This window comes from Homo sapiens, chromosome 10, assembly GCF_000001405.40.
Source record: "Homo sapiens chromosome 10, GRCh38.p14 Primary Assembly".
Taxonomy (NCBI): Eukaryota; Metazoa; Chordata; class Mammalia; order Primates; family Hominidae; genus Homo; species Homo sapiens.
In genome coordinates, this window is record NC_000010.11 from 62,526,843 (window position 1) to 62,540,747 (window position 13,905).

Genomic DNA, 13,905 nt, shown 5'->3' on the forward strand with positions numbered 1-13,905 from the left:
TTCCTTCTCATTTGGACAGACTATGTCAGAGGGAAGATCTGGGACTCAAGAGCTGCTGTTCAGATTCTTTGTCCCAAGGGGTGCTCCCTTGATGTAGTGCTCTCCCCTTCCCCTAAGGATGTGGCTTCCTGAGAGCCAAACTGCAGTTATTTCTCTTCTGGATGTAGCCACTCAGTGGAGCTACTGGGTTCTGGGCTGGTACTGGGGAGTGTCTGACCAAAGTCCTGTGATGTGAACCATTTTCATGTCTACCATCTTCAGGTGTCTCAGTCTTGGATACCAGCACCTGTTTTGGTGGAGTTGGCAGGGGAGTGAAATGGATTCTGTGAGGGTCCTTAGTTGTAGTTTTGTCTATTGCACTAGTTTTGTATTTGTTGGCCTCCAGCCAGGAGGTGGCACTTTCAGGGGAGCATCAGTTGCCATAGTATAGGGAGGATCAAGGCAGTGGGTGGAGCCCTAGAGCTCCGAAGAGATTATGTCCTTTGTCTTTGGCTACAAGGGTGGGTAGAGAAAGACCATCAGGTCGGGGCAGGGTTAGGCCTGTCTGAGCTCAGGCTCTCCTTGGGTGGGGCTTGCTGCAGCTGCTGTGGGGTATGGGGATGTGGTTCTCAGGCCAGTGAAGTTATGTTCCCAGGGGGATTGTAGCTGCCTCTGATGTGTCATGCAGGTCACCAGGGAAGTCGGGGAAAGCTGGCAGTTACAGGCTTCACCTAGCTCCCATGCAGCCCAAGAGGCTGGTCTCACTCCCACCATGCCCCCACCAACAGCACTGAGTTTATTTCCAGGCAGCCAGTGAGCAGGGCTGAGAACTTGCCACAGGCTACTAGCCTTTTAGCTGAGAAAGCAAGCAGGGCTTTCAGGTCTTGTGCCTCCCTGCCTGCTGCGGCTTCTGTGCTGTGTATCCACTCCCGATTCACCTCCTCCCCCAGTTTCTATCGAGGAAATTTGTGTTCAGTTGAAATTGTTACAAAGTTCAGCTGGAAGTTTCTTTCTCCCTGTGGTCTTTTCCCAGTTCCTCTGGCAGCCCTTCCCAAGGATCTCTGTGAGACTAAGTCAGAAATGGCTTCCCTGGGGACCGAGAGAGCCCACAGGGCTCTTCCCACTACTTCTACCCTTGTATTTTGCTTAGCTCTCTAAATTTGTCTCAACTCTAGGTAAGATCAAATCCTTCTCCCATTATCTGGACCTTCAGTTTCCCCCGTGAAGGTGTGTGTTCAAGGGCAGACAATCCCCCTTTCACACTTTGGGCACTCACATTTTTTCAACCATCTTCTGGGGCCTGCAGGAGCAATCTGCTTCCTTCAAAGGGTCTGTGGATTCTCTAGGCTTTCCGGGTATGTTCCTGCAGTAGTTCTTGGAGTAAAAGTTTACAATGTGCATCTCCACAAGCTGCTCTGTCCATCTGAGTGGGAGCTGGAAGTTAGTCCTGCCTTCTATCCACCATTTTCCTGCTGTTCAAATAAATGCCTTTTCTTTATAAATTACCCGGTTTCAGGTATTTTGTTATAAGCAACAGAAAACAGACTAAGACAGACAGCTTTAACCATTACCAAGTTCTTCCTGCCATTAAGCTAAACTGATTCCTTGTAATGTCTTTCCTTTAGTTCTATTTGTGTCTGCTTGCTTATAATACATTTAGTGTTTCTTCTATTAAACAGTCCTTTAGCTATTTGAAGACAACTATGCTGTTTCCAGCCCTACTCTAGCCTCACTCCTAAACTTTCTCTTCTCTCGAATATTCAAAACCAGTTCCTCATACTGAACTTTAACAAAGATCAAGGTTCTGTTTGAGGCAGAAAAAAAAAAAAAAAGAACTGAAACAGTGACTCTTTTTTGTTTGACCACATCCTCTTGTTTATCTTGAAAATCAAGGTGGATAGACTATGAATGTGAGATGAAAAAAGCCAAAGAGGCTCTCTGTGTTACTATGATGACTACTCTGATCTGAGCCACTATTACTTCTTTCCTAGACTACTGCAATGTATTTCTAACTAATTACTAATTGCTATCTCTGACCTGTGTCCCTATCGTGAAGGTAAGAGTACTGACACACAGAGTCTCAATAGGTAATTTACTCAAGATAATGTCACATGTAAAAGAATTGACTCCAAGACTGTTTTCATCTATAGCCTGTAACAGAACTAATGATGGCCAATGAAATTATCACTTGGGTCTTGAATTTAATCTAGATGAGATGAAAATAGTGGCACTTTTGAAAATAATTTTAAAAGCATACTTAAGAGTTCTGGTTCCAAGGAAGATGGAGTAAGCACACTCCACCCCATCTCTCCTACTGAAGGCAGTTATAAATTCTGGACTGAATGCAAGGACCAGCTACTATGTGAAGTCTCTGAAAAATAAATGGTAGCATCCAGGTTGAGGAATAAGACTTGAATTCAAAGTCTGGTCAAATCATTTGTGAATTTACCGTGTTTTCCCTCCAGTATTACCTAGCCTAGACATGAAGGCAGCCTGCTATGGTTTGGATATTTGACCCCTCCAAACCTTATGTTGAAATTTGATTTCCAGTGTTGGAAGTAGGGCCTGATAGGAGGCATTTGAGTCATGGGGGCAGATCCCTCATGAATAGATTAATGTCTTCCCTGTGTAGACGGGTGAGTGACTTCTCAGTCTAATAATTTTCAGGAGAGCTGGTGGTTTAAAAGAGCCTGACATCCCTACCTCTTGCTTCTGCTCTCGCCATGTGATCTTTGCACACATCATTCACTTTGCCTTCTGCTCTAAGTGGAAGCAGCCTGAGACTTTTGCCAGATGCCCAACCTCCCAGCCAGCAGAATCATGAGCCAAATAAACTTTTTTTAAAAATAAATCACTCCATCTCAGACATTCCTTTATAGCAACACAAATAGACTAAGACACAGCCCAGCATCTGAAAGTGCACACTGGCTGCTGTCAGAAAGAGATTCAAGAGAAACTCTTCTGCTTTAAAGGACAAAGAAAGGGGGATGCATAGGGTAGAAAACAGTGGAGAATACTTTGGTATTTTTCCTTTTTCTACTACCCCAACCCCCAGGCATTATGGAAGTGGCAATTGTACAGTGATGACAGTGGTAGCTGAATAGATGCCTAAAATTCTGAAAGAGGGGAACCTTCCCCTGACCAGATGAGTATGGATCTAAGAGCATGGTGTGAATTCCCGTTGCTTTTTTTTTTTTTCTTCTCTGTCTTCATCACTTGACCTGGGACACAGATATTGTCACAAGAAGTGCCTTGCCGAGTAGAAAAAATAAAGCTTCAACTTCCTAGCTGGAGGCCCATGAAGGAGGTGCCAGGAAGCTAAAACATATCAATGAGATCACAGAGAGGTGGGAAGTCGAAAAGGCAATTCTATATTATTGTATCTGAATGCCTGAGATCACCATTGATGTGCCCGTGTATACATCTGAGCATACCATAGAGTTAAAAGACTTGGCCACAGGGTAGTACACATGGGGAACTGATCTGGATAACACAGGAAACATTTTAAAGTTAAAGTGATATTGAAAACATAGCTTATAGAAGGTAAGTCAGAACTTGTGGCCCAAACCTAGCCTAGACAACTGCCTGTTTAAACAAACAAAGAAAAATATTTCCCTTTGGATTGAAACTAGACTTAGAATCTCATAATATATTCTTCAAAACATCTAGGATTTAATCCAAAATTACTTATACAAAAATTCAAACAAGGCAAAAAATAAAATAAACAAACAAAAAAGGAAAATTCAACTCTCAAGGAAAAGATAATAACAAATGCCAACTCCAAGATGACAAAGATATTGGAATTATCTGTAAAATAAAGGGTAAACGTTCTTCAAACAAATGGAAAAGTGAAATATCTCAGCAAAAAAAATAGAAGATAGAAAGGAAAACCAAATAGAAATTTAAAAACTGAAAAATATACTGTCCAAACTAAAAAATTCACTGGATAGATCCAATAGCAGAACAGAGATAACAGAATAAAGAGTCAGTAAACTTAAAAATAGATTAATGGAAATTACACAAAATTTATTTATAATTATTAATATTATTAATAAATATTACACAAGAGGGAGAAAAAATTTTTTTAAATAAACAGAACCTTAGGGAGCTATGAGAAATACCAAAAGTTCTAACATCAATGTCATGTCATCAGTTTTACAAAGACACAACTAAGTGCGTGCGCCAGAAAAATCATTTAAAGTTACAATGGCTGAAAAGGTCCTAAATTTGGCAAAAAAAAAAAAAAAAAAAAACCATAATTTTTTATGTTCAAGAAGACTGGTGAATCCAAAATGGAATAAAACAAAAGAAATTCATGCCTAACACAGTATAATCAAACTGCTGAAAACTAAAGACAAAGAATAATCCTGAACAGCCAGATGAAAGCAATGTGCTTCATAAAGAGAAACAAGAAATCAAATATTTGTAAATTTGTTGTTAGAGTCCACCAAGGCTAGAAGCAAGTGATACAAGATTTTAAAGAGCTAAAAGAGGCCGGGCGCACGTGGCTCACGCCTGTAATCCCAGCACTTTGGGAGGCCAAGGAGGGCGGATCACGAGGTCAGGAGATGGAGACCATCCTGGCTAACACGGTGAAACTCCGTCTCTACTAAAAATACAAAAAAATTAGCCAGGCATGGCAGCGTGCACCTGTAGTCCCAGCTGCTGGGCGGGTCTGAGGCAGGAGAATGGCGTGAACCCGGGAGGCGGAGCTTGCAGTGAGCCCATATCGCGCCACTGCACTCCAGCCTGGGTGACAAAGCAAGACTCCATCAAAAAAAAAAAAAAAAAAAAGATCTAAAAGAAAGGAACAGCCAATTCAGAATTTATATCCACTGAAAATATTCCATATCCAGTGAATATGTTTCTTAGCTAAGAAAATTGTCACAAGCATAACTACTGTAAAAGAAATGCTAAAGGAAATTATTCAATGAAAAAAATTATATTAGAAGGAAACTTGGACATGGGGAATGAATGAAGGAATAATAACAGAAATGCAAAAAATTAGTAAACATAATAGGCTATTCTTTTTTTCTTAAGTTCTTTAAAATATAGATGATGATTGGAAACAAAAATTGCAGCCAAATATTTAATACATGTGAAAACTACATCACTAAAAAGGGGAGGTGAAAAGGTTTATTTCATGGTAAGTTTTCTATATTTCACTTATAGTGGCAAAATACTAATTCTAATTAGACTGAAAATTTAGTAGAGATTATATATATATAATATGTAATTTAAATATATGTATTTAATCCCTGAAGTTACCACACAAAAAATTTTTTTTACAAGGAGATATAGTCAAAAGCTTACTAGATAAATTATATCGGAAGTCTAAAAAAAAATTAAATATTCAAAGAAGGCAGGAGAGGGAAAAGGAAGAAACAACAAAAGAAAACAAAAACAAAAACAGAGAGAACAAACAGAAAACATTAGTAAAATGGTAGCCTTAATCTAAACATATTGAAAATTATATTAAATGGAAATGGTCTAAACATGTCAATTGAAGGATAGGGATTGTCAGAAAACAAAAAATAAAACCCAATTACATGTGGTCTATAAGAAACACACTTTAAATATAATGATATAGACAGGTTAAAAGTAAAAGGATGGTAAAGATATACCATGGAAACCCTAAACAAAACAAATGGGTGGCTATATTAATGTCACAGTAATTGTCGGAACAAGGAAAATCATCAGGGATAAAGAGCTACATTACATAATGATAAAGGGTCAATTCACCAAGAAGACATAACAATCCTGAATCTGCATGTACTTTACAGCAACACTTCAAAATATATGAAATAAAAACTGATAGAGCTGAAATGAGAAATGGAGACACTCACAGTTATGATTGCATATTTTAGCAAGCCTCCCTCAATAACAGAACAAGTAGAGAAAATTAAAAGGATTTACAATCGCTAAACAAAATACCATCTACCAACTGAAACTAACTGATATTTATAGGATACTCCATGCAATAATAGCAGAATACAAAATGTTTTCAAGCGCACATAAAACATTCACCAAGCTAGGTCATATCCTGAATAATAAAACAAACCTTAAAAAGTTGAAACATACTGGAATAATACAAATTATATAATTTCAACAAATAAATAACAGAAAGATAATTGAAAAATCTCCAAACAATTGGAAATTAAATAACATATTTCAGAATAGTCAATAGATTAAACATTTCTCAAGAGAAAATTAGAAAGCATTTTGAGTTGAATTAAGATAAAAATGGACAATTTAAAATATTGCGATTAGAGTAGAATTTATAACAGTAAATGTTTCTCTTATTTTAAAGTAAATGTTTCTATTATGATCAAAGTCATAATTCAATCATCTAAACTCCACCTTTAGAAACTAAAAAAAGAATAAAATAAACCCAAAGCAAGCAAAGAAAGAAAATAATAAAGATAAGAGCAGAAATCAAAAAAATTGAAACCAGAAACACAATAGAGAAAAATCAATCAAACAAAAAGTTGGTTCTTTGAGAAAAGATCAATAACATTGGTTTAGCCAGACCAAAAAGGAAAAAAGGAGAGAAGATGCAAATTATCAATATCAGGAATGAAAGAGGAGATATCGCTATTTAATATTCCAGATCCTGAGAACATTTAAAAAAAAAAAGAAAATACTATGAACAACTCTGTATACATAAATTTGACAACTTACATGAAATAGAACAAGTCTATGAAAGCTATAAACAACCAAAACACACTCTCAAATAGCTAACCTGAATAGTCCCTGCACCTATTAAGGAAATATGTAGTTGGAAAAAACAAAAACAAAAAACCTGTATGCTCAAATGGTTTCACTGATTTATTTTCCAAACACTAAAAAAAAAAAAAAAACCCACAAATTCTATATAATGTCTTCTAGAAAGCAAAAGAAAGAAATACTTGCCAATTCATTTTATAAAGCTAGTATTACCCTCATTCCCAAACTAGACAAAGACAGGACCAAAAAAGAAAGAAAAGACAAAAAGGAAAGAAAAGAAAAGAAAAGAGAACCACAGACCAATATTCTTCATACACTTATATATAAGAATACTTGTATCTATGAGTCTATGACATAAGAGATGTAAAAATACTCCACAAAATAATGATAAATATATATATATCTATATATAGATATAGATATAAATATCAACAATGATCCTTGTGGGATTTATCCCAGGAATGCAGAATTGGTTCAATATTCTAAAATCAATTACTATAATCCACCATGTTAACAAACCAAAGAAGAAAAACTTCCCATAATTATACAAGTTGATGCAGAAAAAAACATTTCACAAAACACAATATCTATTCACATTACAAACACTCAGCAAACTAGAAATAAAAGGGAACTTCTTTAACTACGTAAAGGGCATCTAAGAAAATCCTTAAGCTCAAGTTACACTTTATGGTGAGGAACTGAATCTTTTTCTCCACAATTGAGACCAAGGCAAGGATTATACTCTCACTAATCCTATTCATCATCATACTGGAAGTCCTAGCTAATGCAAAAAAGACAAGAACAAGAAATAAAGGGCCAGACATTGTGGTGTAATTCCAGCACGTTGGGAGGCTAAGGTAGAAGGATCAGTTGAGCCTAGGAGTTTGAGACCAGCCTGGGCAACATAGTGAGACCTCACCTCTACAAAAAAATGAAAAAAAAAAAGCTGGTCCTGGTGGCACAGGCCTGTAGTCCCAACTACTAAGGAGGCTGAGGCAGGAGGATAGCTTGAGCCCAGGAGGTCAAGGGCTGCAGTAAGCCATGATCATTGCACTCCAGTCTGGGTGATGAAGTGAGACCTAAAAAAAAAAGAAAGAAAGAAAGAAAAAAGAAAGACATACAGGTTGGGAAGGAAGAAATAAATATGTCTGATATTATATAGAAAATTGTCCATGTATGATTGTCTGTAGAGAAAATTCCATGGACTCCACATAAAAGTTTCTAGAACTAAGTAAATTTAGCAAGATTGCAGAATACAAAATCAACACAAAAATCAATCATATCTATGTGATATGAGCAAATCAAAACAGAAATCAACAAAATAATAGCAATTGCTATAGCTCCAAAACAAGTACTTAGCTATCAATCTACAAATTATGTGTGGCCTTAAATCTGCAAAATGCTGATGAAAGAAATCAAAGAAGACCTAAATGAAAAAGAGAGATTGGGTTTTCTTGGGTCTGTTGGGTCATTCTCAATGGGTTGAGAGACTCCAAGAGAATTAAGACGTTAATTTTCCCCAAATTGATCTATAGAATTAATGCAATTCCAGGCAGATTTTTTTGGTAAATATAGGAAAGGTGATCCTAAAATGTATATGGGAAAGGAAAGTTTTTAAGACTTATGATAAAGCTATAGTAATCAAGACATGTGGTATTGATGAACAGACAGACACATAAACCAATGGAATACAATAGACAGTTCAGGGAAAGATGCACACAAATATGACCAATTCATATTGGACCAAAGTGGAAATACAATTCAATGAAGAAAAAATTGTCTTTTCAACAAGTGATGATAGAACAATTAAAGACACATAAAAATTGACATAAACCTCACAACACACATACAAAAGTTATAAATGGATGATAAACAACATCGGCAAAGTTTTTAGGATACTAAATCAATGCACAAAACTCGGGAGCAATTCTATACACCAATAACATACAAGCTGAGGGCCAAATCAAGAACACAATTCCAATCACGACAGCCACAGTAAAAATAAAATACCTAGGAATACAACTAACCAAAGAGGTGAGATGTCTCTACAATGAGAATTACAAAACACTGCTGAAAGAAATTAGAGACAACACAAATAAATAGGAAAATATTCCATGCTCATGGAGAAGAAGAATCAATATCGTTAAAATGGCCATATGGCCTAATGCAATTTACAGATTCAGGGGTATTCCTAATCAAACTACCAACATTTTTCACGGAATTAGAAAAAACTATTATAAAATTTATGTGGAACCCAAAAAGAGCCTGAATAGCCAAAGAAATGCTAAGCAGAAAGAACAAAGCTGGAGGCATCATGTTACCTGATTTCAAACTATACTACAAGGCTGCAGTAACCAAAACGGCAGATTGTGGTACAAAAACAGACACATAAACCAATGAAACAGGTTAGAGAAGCTACAAATAAAACCACACATCTACAATCATCTGATTTTTGACAAAGTTGACAATAACAAGCAATGGGGCTGGGTGCCGTCACTCACACCTGTAATCCCAGCACTTTGGGAGGCCAAGGCAAGCACATTGCTTGAGCCCAGGAGTTCAAGATCAGCCTTAGCATCATGGCAAAACCCCGTCACTACAAAAGAAAAAAAAATACAAAAAGTTAGCAAGGTGTAATGGCATGTGCCTATGGTTCCAGCTACTCAGAAAGCTGAATCAGGAGGATCGCCTGAGCCCGAGAAGTTGAGGTTGTATTGAGTTATGATCATTCCACTGCACTCCAGCCTGGGTGATAGTAGAGGTGAGACCCTGTATCAAAAAACAAAACAAAAAATAAACAAACAAACAAACAAAAAATAAAACCCAAGCAATGGGGAAAAAAAAAATCTCCTATTCTATAAATGGTGCTGGGATAATTGGCTAGCCATATGCAGAATGTTGAAACTGAACCCCCTCTTTTCACCTTATACAAAAATCAACTCAAGTTGGATTAAAGACTTAAATATAAAACCTGAAACTACAAAAACCCTAGAAGAAAACCTAGGAAATACCATTCTGGGAATAGGCCCTGGCAAAAATTTCATGACAAAGTCTCCAAAAGCAATTGCAACAAAACTGAAAATTGACAAATGGAACCTAATTAAACTAAAGAGTTTCTGCACAGCAAAAAAAAGCTATCAACAGAGTAAAGAGACAACCTACAGAATGGGAGAAAATTTTCTCAAGCTCTGCATCCAAAAAAGGTTTAATATCCAGAATCTATAAGGAACTTAAATCAACAAGCATAAAACAAATAATCTTATTTAAAACTGGGCAAAAGACATGAACAGACATTTTTCAAAAGAAGACATACATATGGCTGACAAGCATATGAAAAATGATCAACATCACTAATCATCAGAGAAATGCAAATCAAAGTCATTATGAGATATCATCTCAAACCAGTCAGAATGCCTATTATTAAAAAGTCAAAAAAGATGCTGGTGAGGTTGCAGAGAAAAGGAAACACTTATATGCTGCTGGTAGGAATGTAAATCGGCTCAGTCACTGTGGAATGCAGTTCCACGATTTCTCAAAGAATGTAAAACAGAATTATCATTTGACCCAGCAATCCCATTATTGAGTATATATCCAAAGGAATATAAATTGATCTACCATTAAGACACATGCATGCATCTGTTTGACGCAGCACAATTCACAGTAGCAAAGACATGGATTCAACCTAGATGCTCATCAGCAGTGAACTGGATAAAAAAAAAAGTAGTACATATATACCATGGAATACTATGCAGCCATTAAATAGATTAAAATCATGTCCTTCGCAGCAATGCAAATGGAGCAGGAGGCCATTATCCCAAGCAAATTAGCACAGGAACAGAAAACCAAATACTGCATGTTCTCACTAAGTGGGAGCTAAACTTGGAGTACACATGGACACAACGAAGGGAACAACAGACACAGGGGTTTACTTGAGAGTGGAGGACAAAGGAGGGTGAGGATCCAAAAACTACCTGAGGACAAAATAATTTGTATACCAAACCCCAGGGACATGCAATTTACCCATGTAACAAACTCGCACATGTACTCCCTGAACCTAAAATAAAAGTTGGAGGGAAAAAAATGGATGATAAATTTTATATAAAGCTATAAAAATTGTGAAAGAAAACACAAGAGAATATTTATCAATAGCAATTACCACAGCTCCAAAAAATAAAATAAAATAAAATAAATACTTAGCTATAAATCTATAAATCTTGGGGTTAGGCAAAGCCTTCTTAGATGTGACACCAAAAACATGATCCATTTTTTTAAAAAAAGAATAAACTGGACTACATCAACATTAAAAACTTTTCCTCTGCAAAATACTAAAAGAGAATAATTATAGGCAAGTTATATATTAAGAGAAATATTTGTCACGTATATGACAAAGAACTTGTATATAAAGACTGTCAAAACTTAATAGTAAGAAAATAAGCTACCCAATTAAAAATAGGCAAAGAATTTGAACCACACTTAACCAAAGAGAATATACAGAAGGTAAATAAGCACAGGGAGAGATGCTGAACACCATTAGTTATTATGGAAATGCAAATTAAAGCCTTGATGATACCACCACAAACCTGTTAGAATGGCTGAAATAAAAAATATCGACAATACCAAATTCTGAGAATGATGCAAAGCAGCTGGAACTGTCATATATTAGTGAAAGGAATGAGAAATGTTATAGGCACTATGGAAAACAGCTTGCCAGTTTCTTATAAAATTAAACATATGCTTAACTTATGGCCCAGCAATCCCACTCCTAGGTATTTACCCTAGAAAAATGAAAACTATATTTCACACAAAAATCTGCATATGAATGTTTACAGTAGCTCTAGTCATAAGTACCAAAAACTGGAAACAGCTCAAATGCCTTGAAACAGGTCAATGGATAAACAAACTGTGGTACATCCAGATGATAAAATATTACCCAGCAATAGAAAGGAATGAATGCTTGATACTTGCAACAACATGCATCACTATCAAAGGCATCTTGCTGAATGAAAGAAATCAGTCTCACATACAAATGGCCAACAGATATATGAAAATGTGCTCAATATCACTAATCATCAGGGAAATACAAATTAAAGTCGCAATAGAATATCTCCTCACACCTGTTTGAATGGCTACTATCAAAAACGCAAGATAAGTTTTAGAGAGGATGTGGAGAAAAAGGAACCTTGCTACACTGTTGGTGTGAACGTAAATTAGTACAGCCATTATGGAAAAACAGCATAGAAGTTCCTCAAAAGATTAAAGATATAATTACCGTATGATCTCACCAGCAACCCCACTTCTGAGTATGTATCCAAAGGAATTGAAATCAGTATGTCAAAGCAGTATCTGCACTTCCATGTTTATTGCAGCGTTATTCACGATAGCCAAGATATGGAAGCAAACTGTGTCCACCAACAGATGAATGGATAAAGAAAATGTAGTTTATAATACACAATGAAATACTACTCAGCCTTAAAAAATAAGAAAATTCTGTCATCTGCAACAACATGGATGAACCTGGATGACATGTTAAGTGAGATAAGCCAGGCACAGAAAGACAAATACTGAATGACCTTATTTGTCTATGGAACCTAAAAAACTAAAACTCATAGAAGTAGCAAGTGGAATGGTGATTACCAGAGGCTGGTAGGCGGAAAGGGAAGGGTGAGGATAGGAAAGGGAAGATAATTGTCAAAGGGTACAAAGTTTCCGTTAGACCAGCAGGAATAAGTTTCAGGATCTATTGCACAGCATGGTGACTCATAGCTAATGATAAAGTTCATATATCTCAAAACTGCTGAAAGGGTTAATTTTAAATGTTTTCACCACGCAAAAAAATGATAAGTATATGAAATGATGAATAATGTTAATTAGCTAGATTTAATCACTCTACAATAATTCATGACATGGCATTGTACCTGGTCTATAATTATTATTTGTCAATTAAAAATAAAATAAAATGGTCAGGTGCGGTGGCTCACTCCTGTAATCCCAGCACTTTGGGAGGCTGAGGCGGGCAGATCACTTGACGTCAGGAGTTCAAGACCAGCCTGGCCAACATGGTGAAACTCTGTCTCTACTAAAAATACAAAAATTAGCCCAGCACGGTGGTGCACACCTGTAATCCCAGCTACTTGGGAAGCGGAAGCATGAGGATCGCTTGAACATGCGAGGCGGAGCTTGCAGTGAGCCAAGATCACTCCACTGCACTCCAGCCTGGGCGACAGAGGGAGACTCCGTTTCAAAAATAAATAAATAAATAAATAAATAAATAAATAAATAAATAAATGAAATAAAATACCACAAAACTTAAAAAAAAGGAATCAGTTTCAAATGGCTACCTACTATATGATTCCATTTGTATGACATCTGGAAAACACAAAACTACAGTGATGGAGAAAAGATCAATGGTTGTCAGAGGCTATGGACAGGAGGAGGATGTGTCTAAAAAAGGAGCAGCACAGGGAATTTTGGCAGTGATGGATCTGTTCTGTGTCCTGTTTGTGGTGAAGGTTTACATGAATCTATATATGTGTGTGTGTAAATATACATACATATATACACGTACATGTATATGTACATGTTTATACACATATATGTATATACACATATGTAGTTGTACATGTATATGCATACATATGTATATATAAATAATATACACATGCATATATGTGTATATACACATATGTGTATATATATGTAAACATATATAGCGTCTCTCTATATAACATATATAATCTATGTATGTGTTAACTCTACATCCAAAAAATCAATTTTATCGGATGTTAACTTTAAAAATAAAGAAAATAGAGCAAAAATTCATACTTAGTATTTCAAATATTTTTAAAGGAGGAAATATCACTCATGAAGAAAACAATACATTGTGAAACATAAAAACAGGCAGAACTGAAACAGTATCATGTGAGTGTGAGCTTTTTTTAGAAGAGAGTGATTAAGTAACTTGACAACAAGACACATATTTAATAAGAGACACTAGTGGGATTTGAATGCAAGTCCCCTGACTTGGACTACAGAAGAATTTTTACAGAAGTATCCCACAAAGCACCCGTGCTAAGTGGGAAAGAGCCCTGGATTCCAACTCAACATGCTTGCATTTGAATCTTGGCTCCACCCTGCCTTCTAGCTTTGAATCTGTTTCCTCTTCTGTAAAATGAGATCAATAGCAGAATCTACCTTATAAAA

The 13,905-nt window shown here is 36.3% G+C and overlaps 1 annotated feature.

The window, feature by feature from the left end:
* Positions 489–708: an enhancer, noted in NCBI's record as "active region_3417". NCBI's record gives its function as "activates an Ori minimal core promoter by ATAC-STARR-seq in GM12878 lymphoblastoid cells {active_cell/tissue: GM12878}" and the evidence as "EXISTENCE:reporter gene assay evidence [ECO:0000049][PMID:35858748]".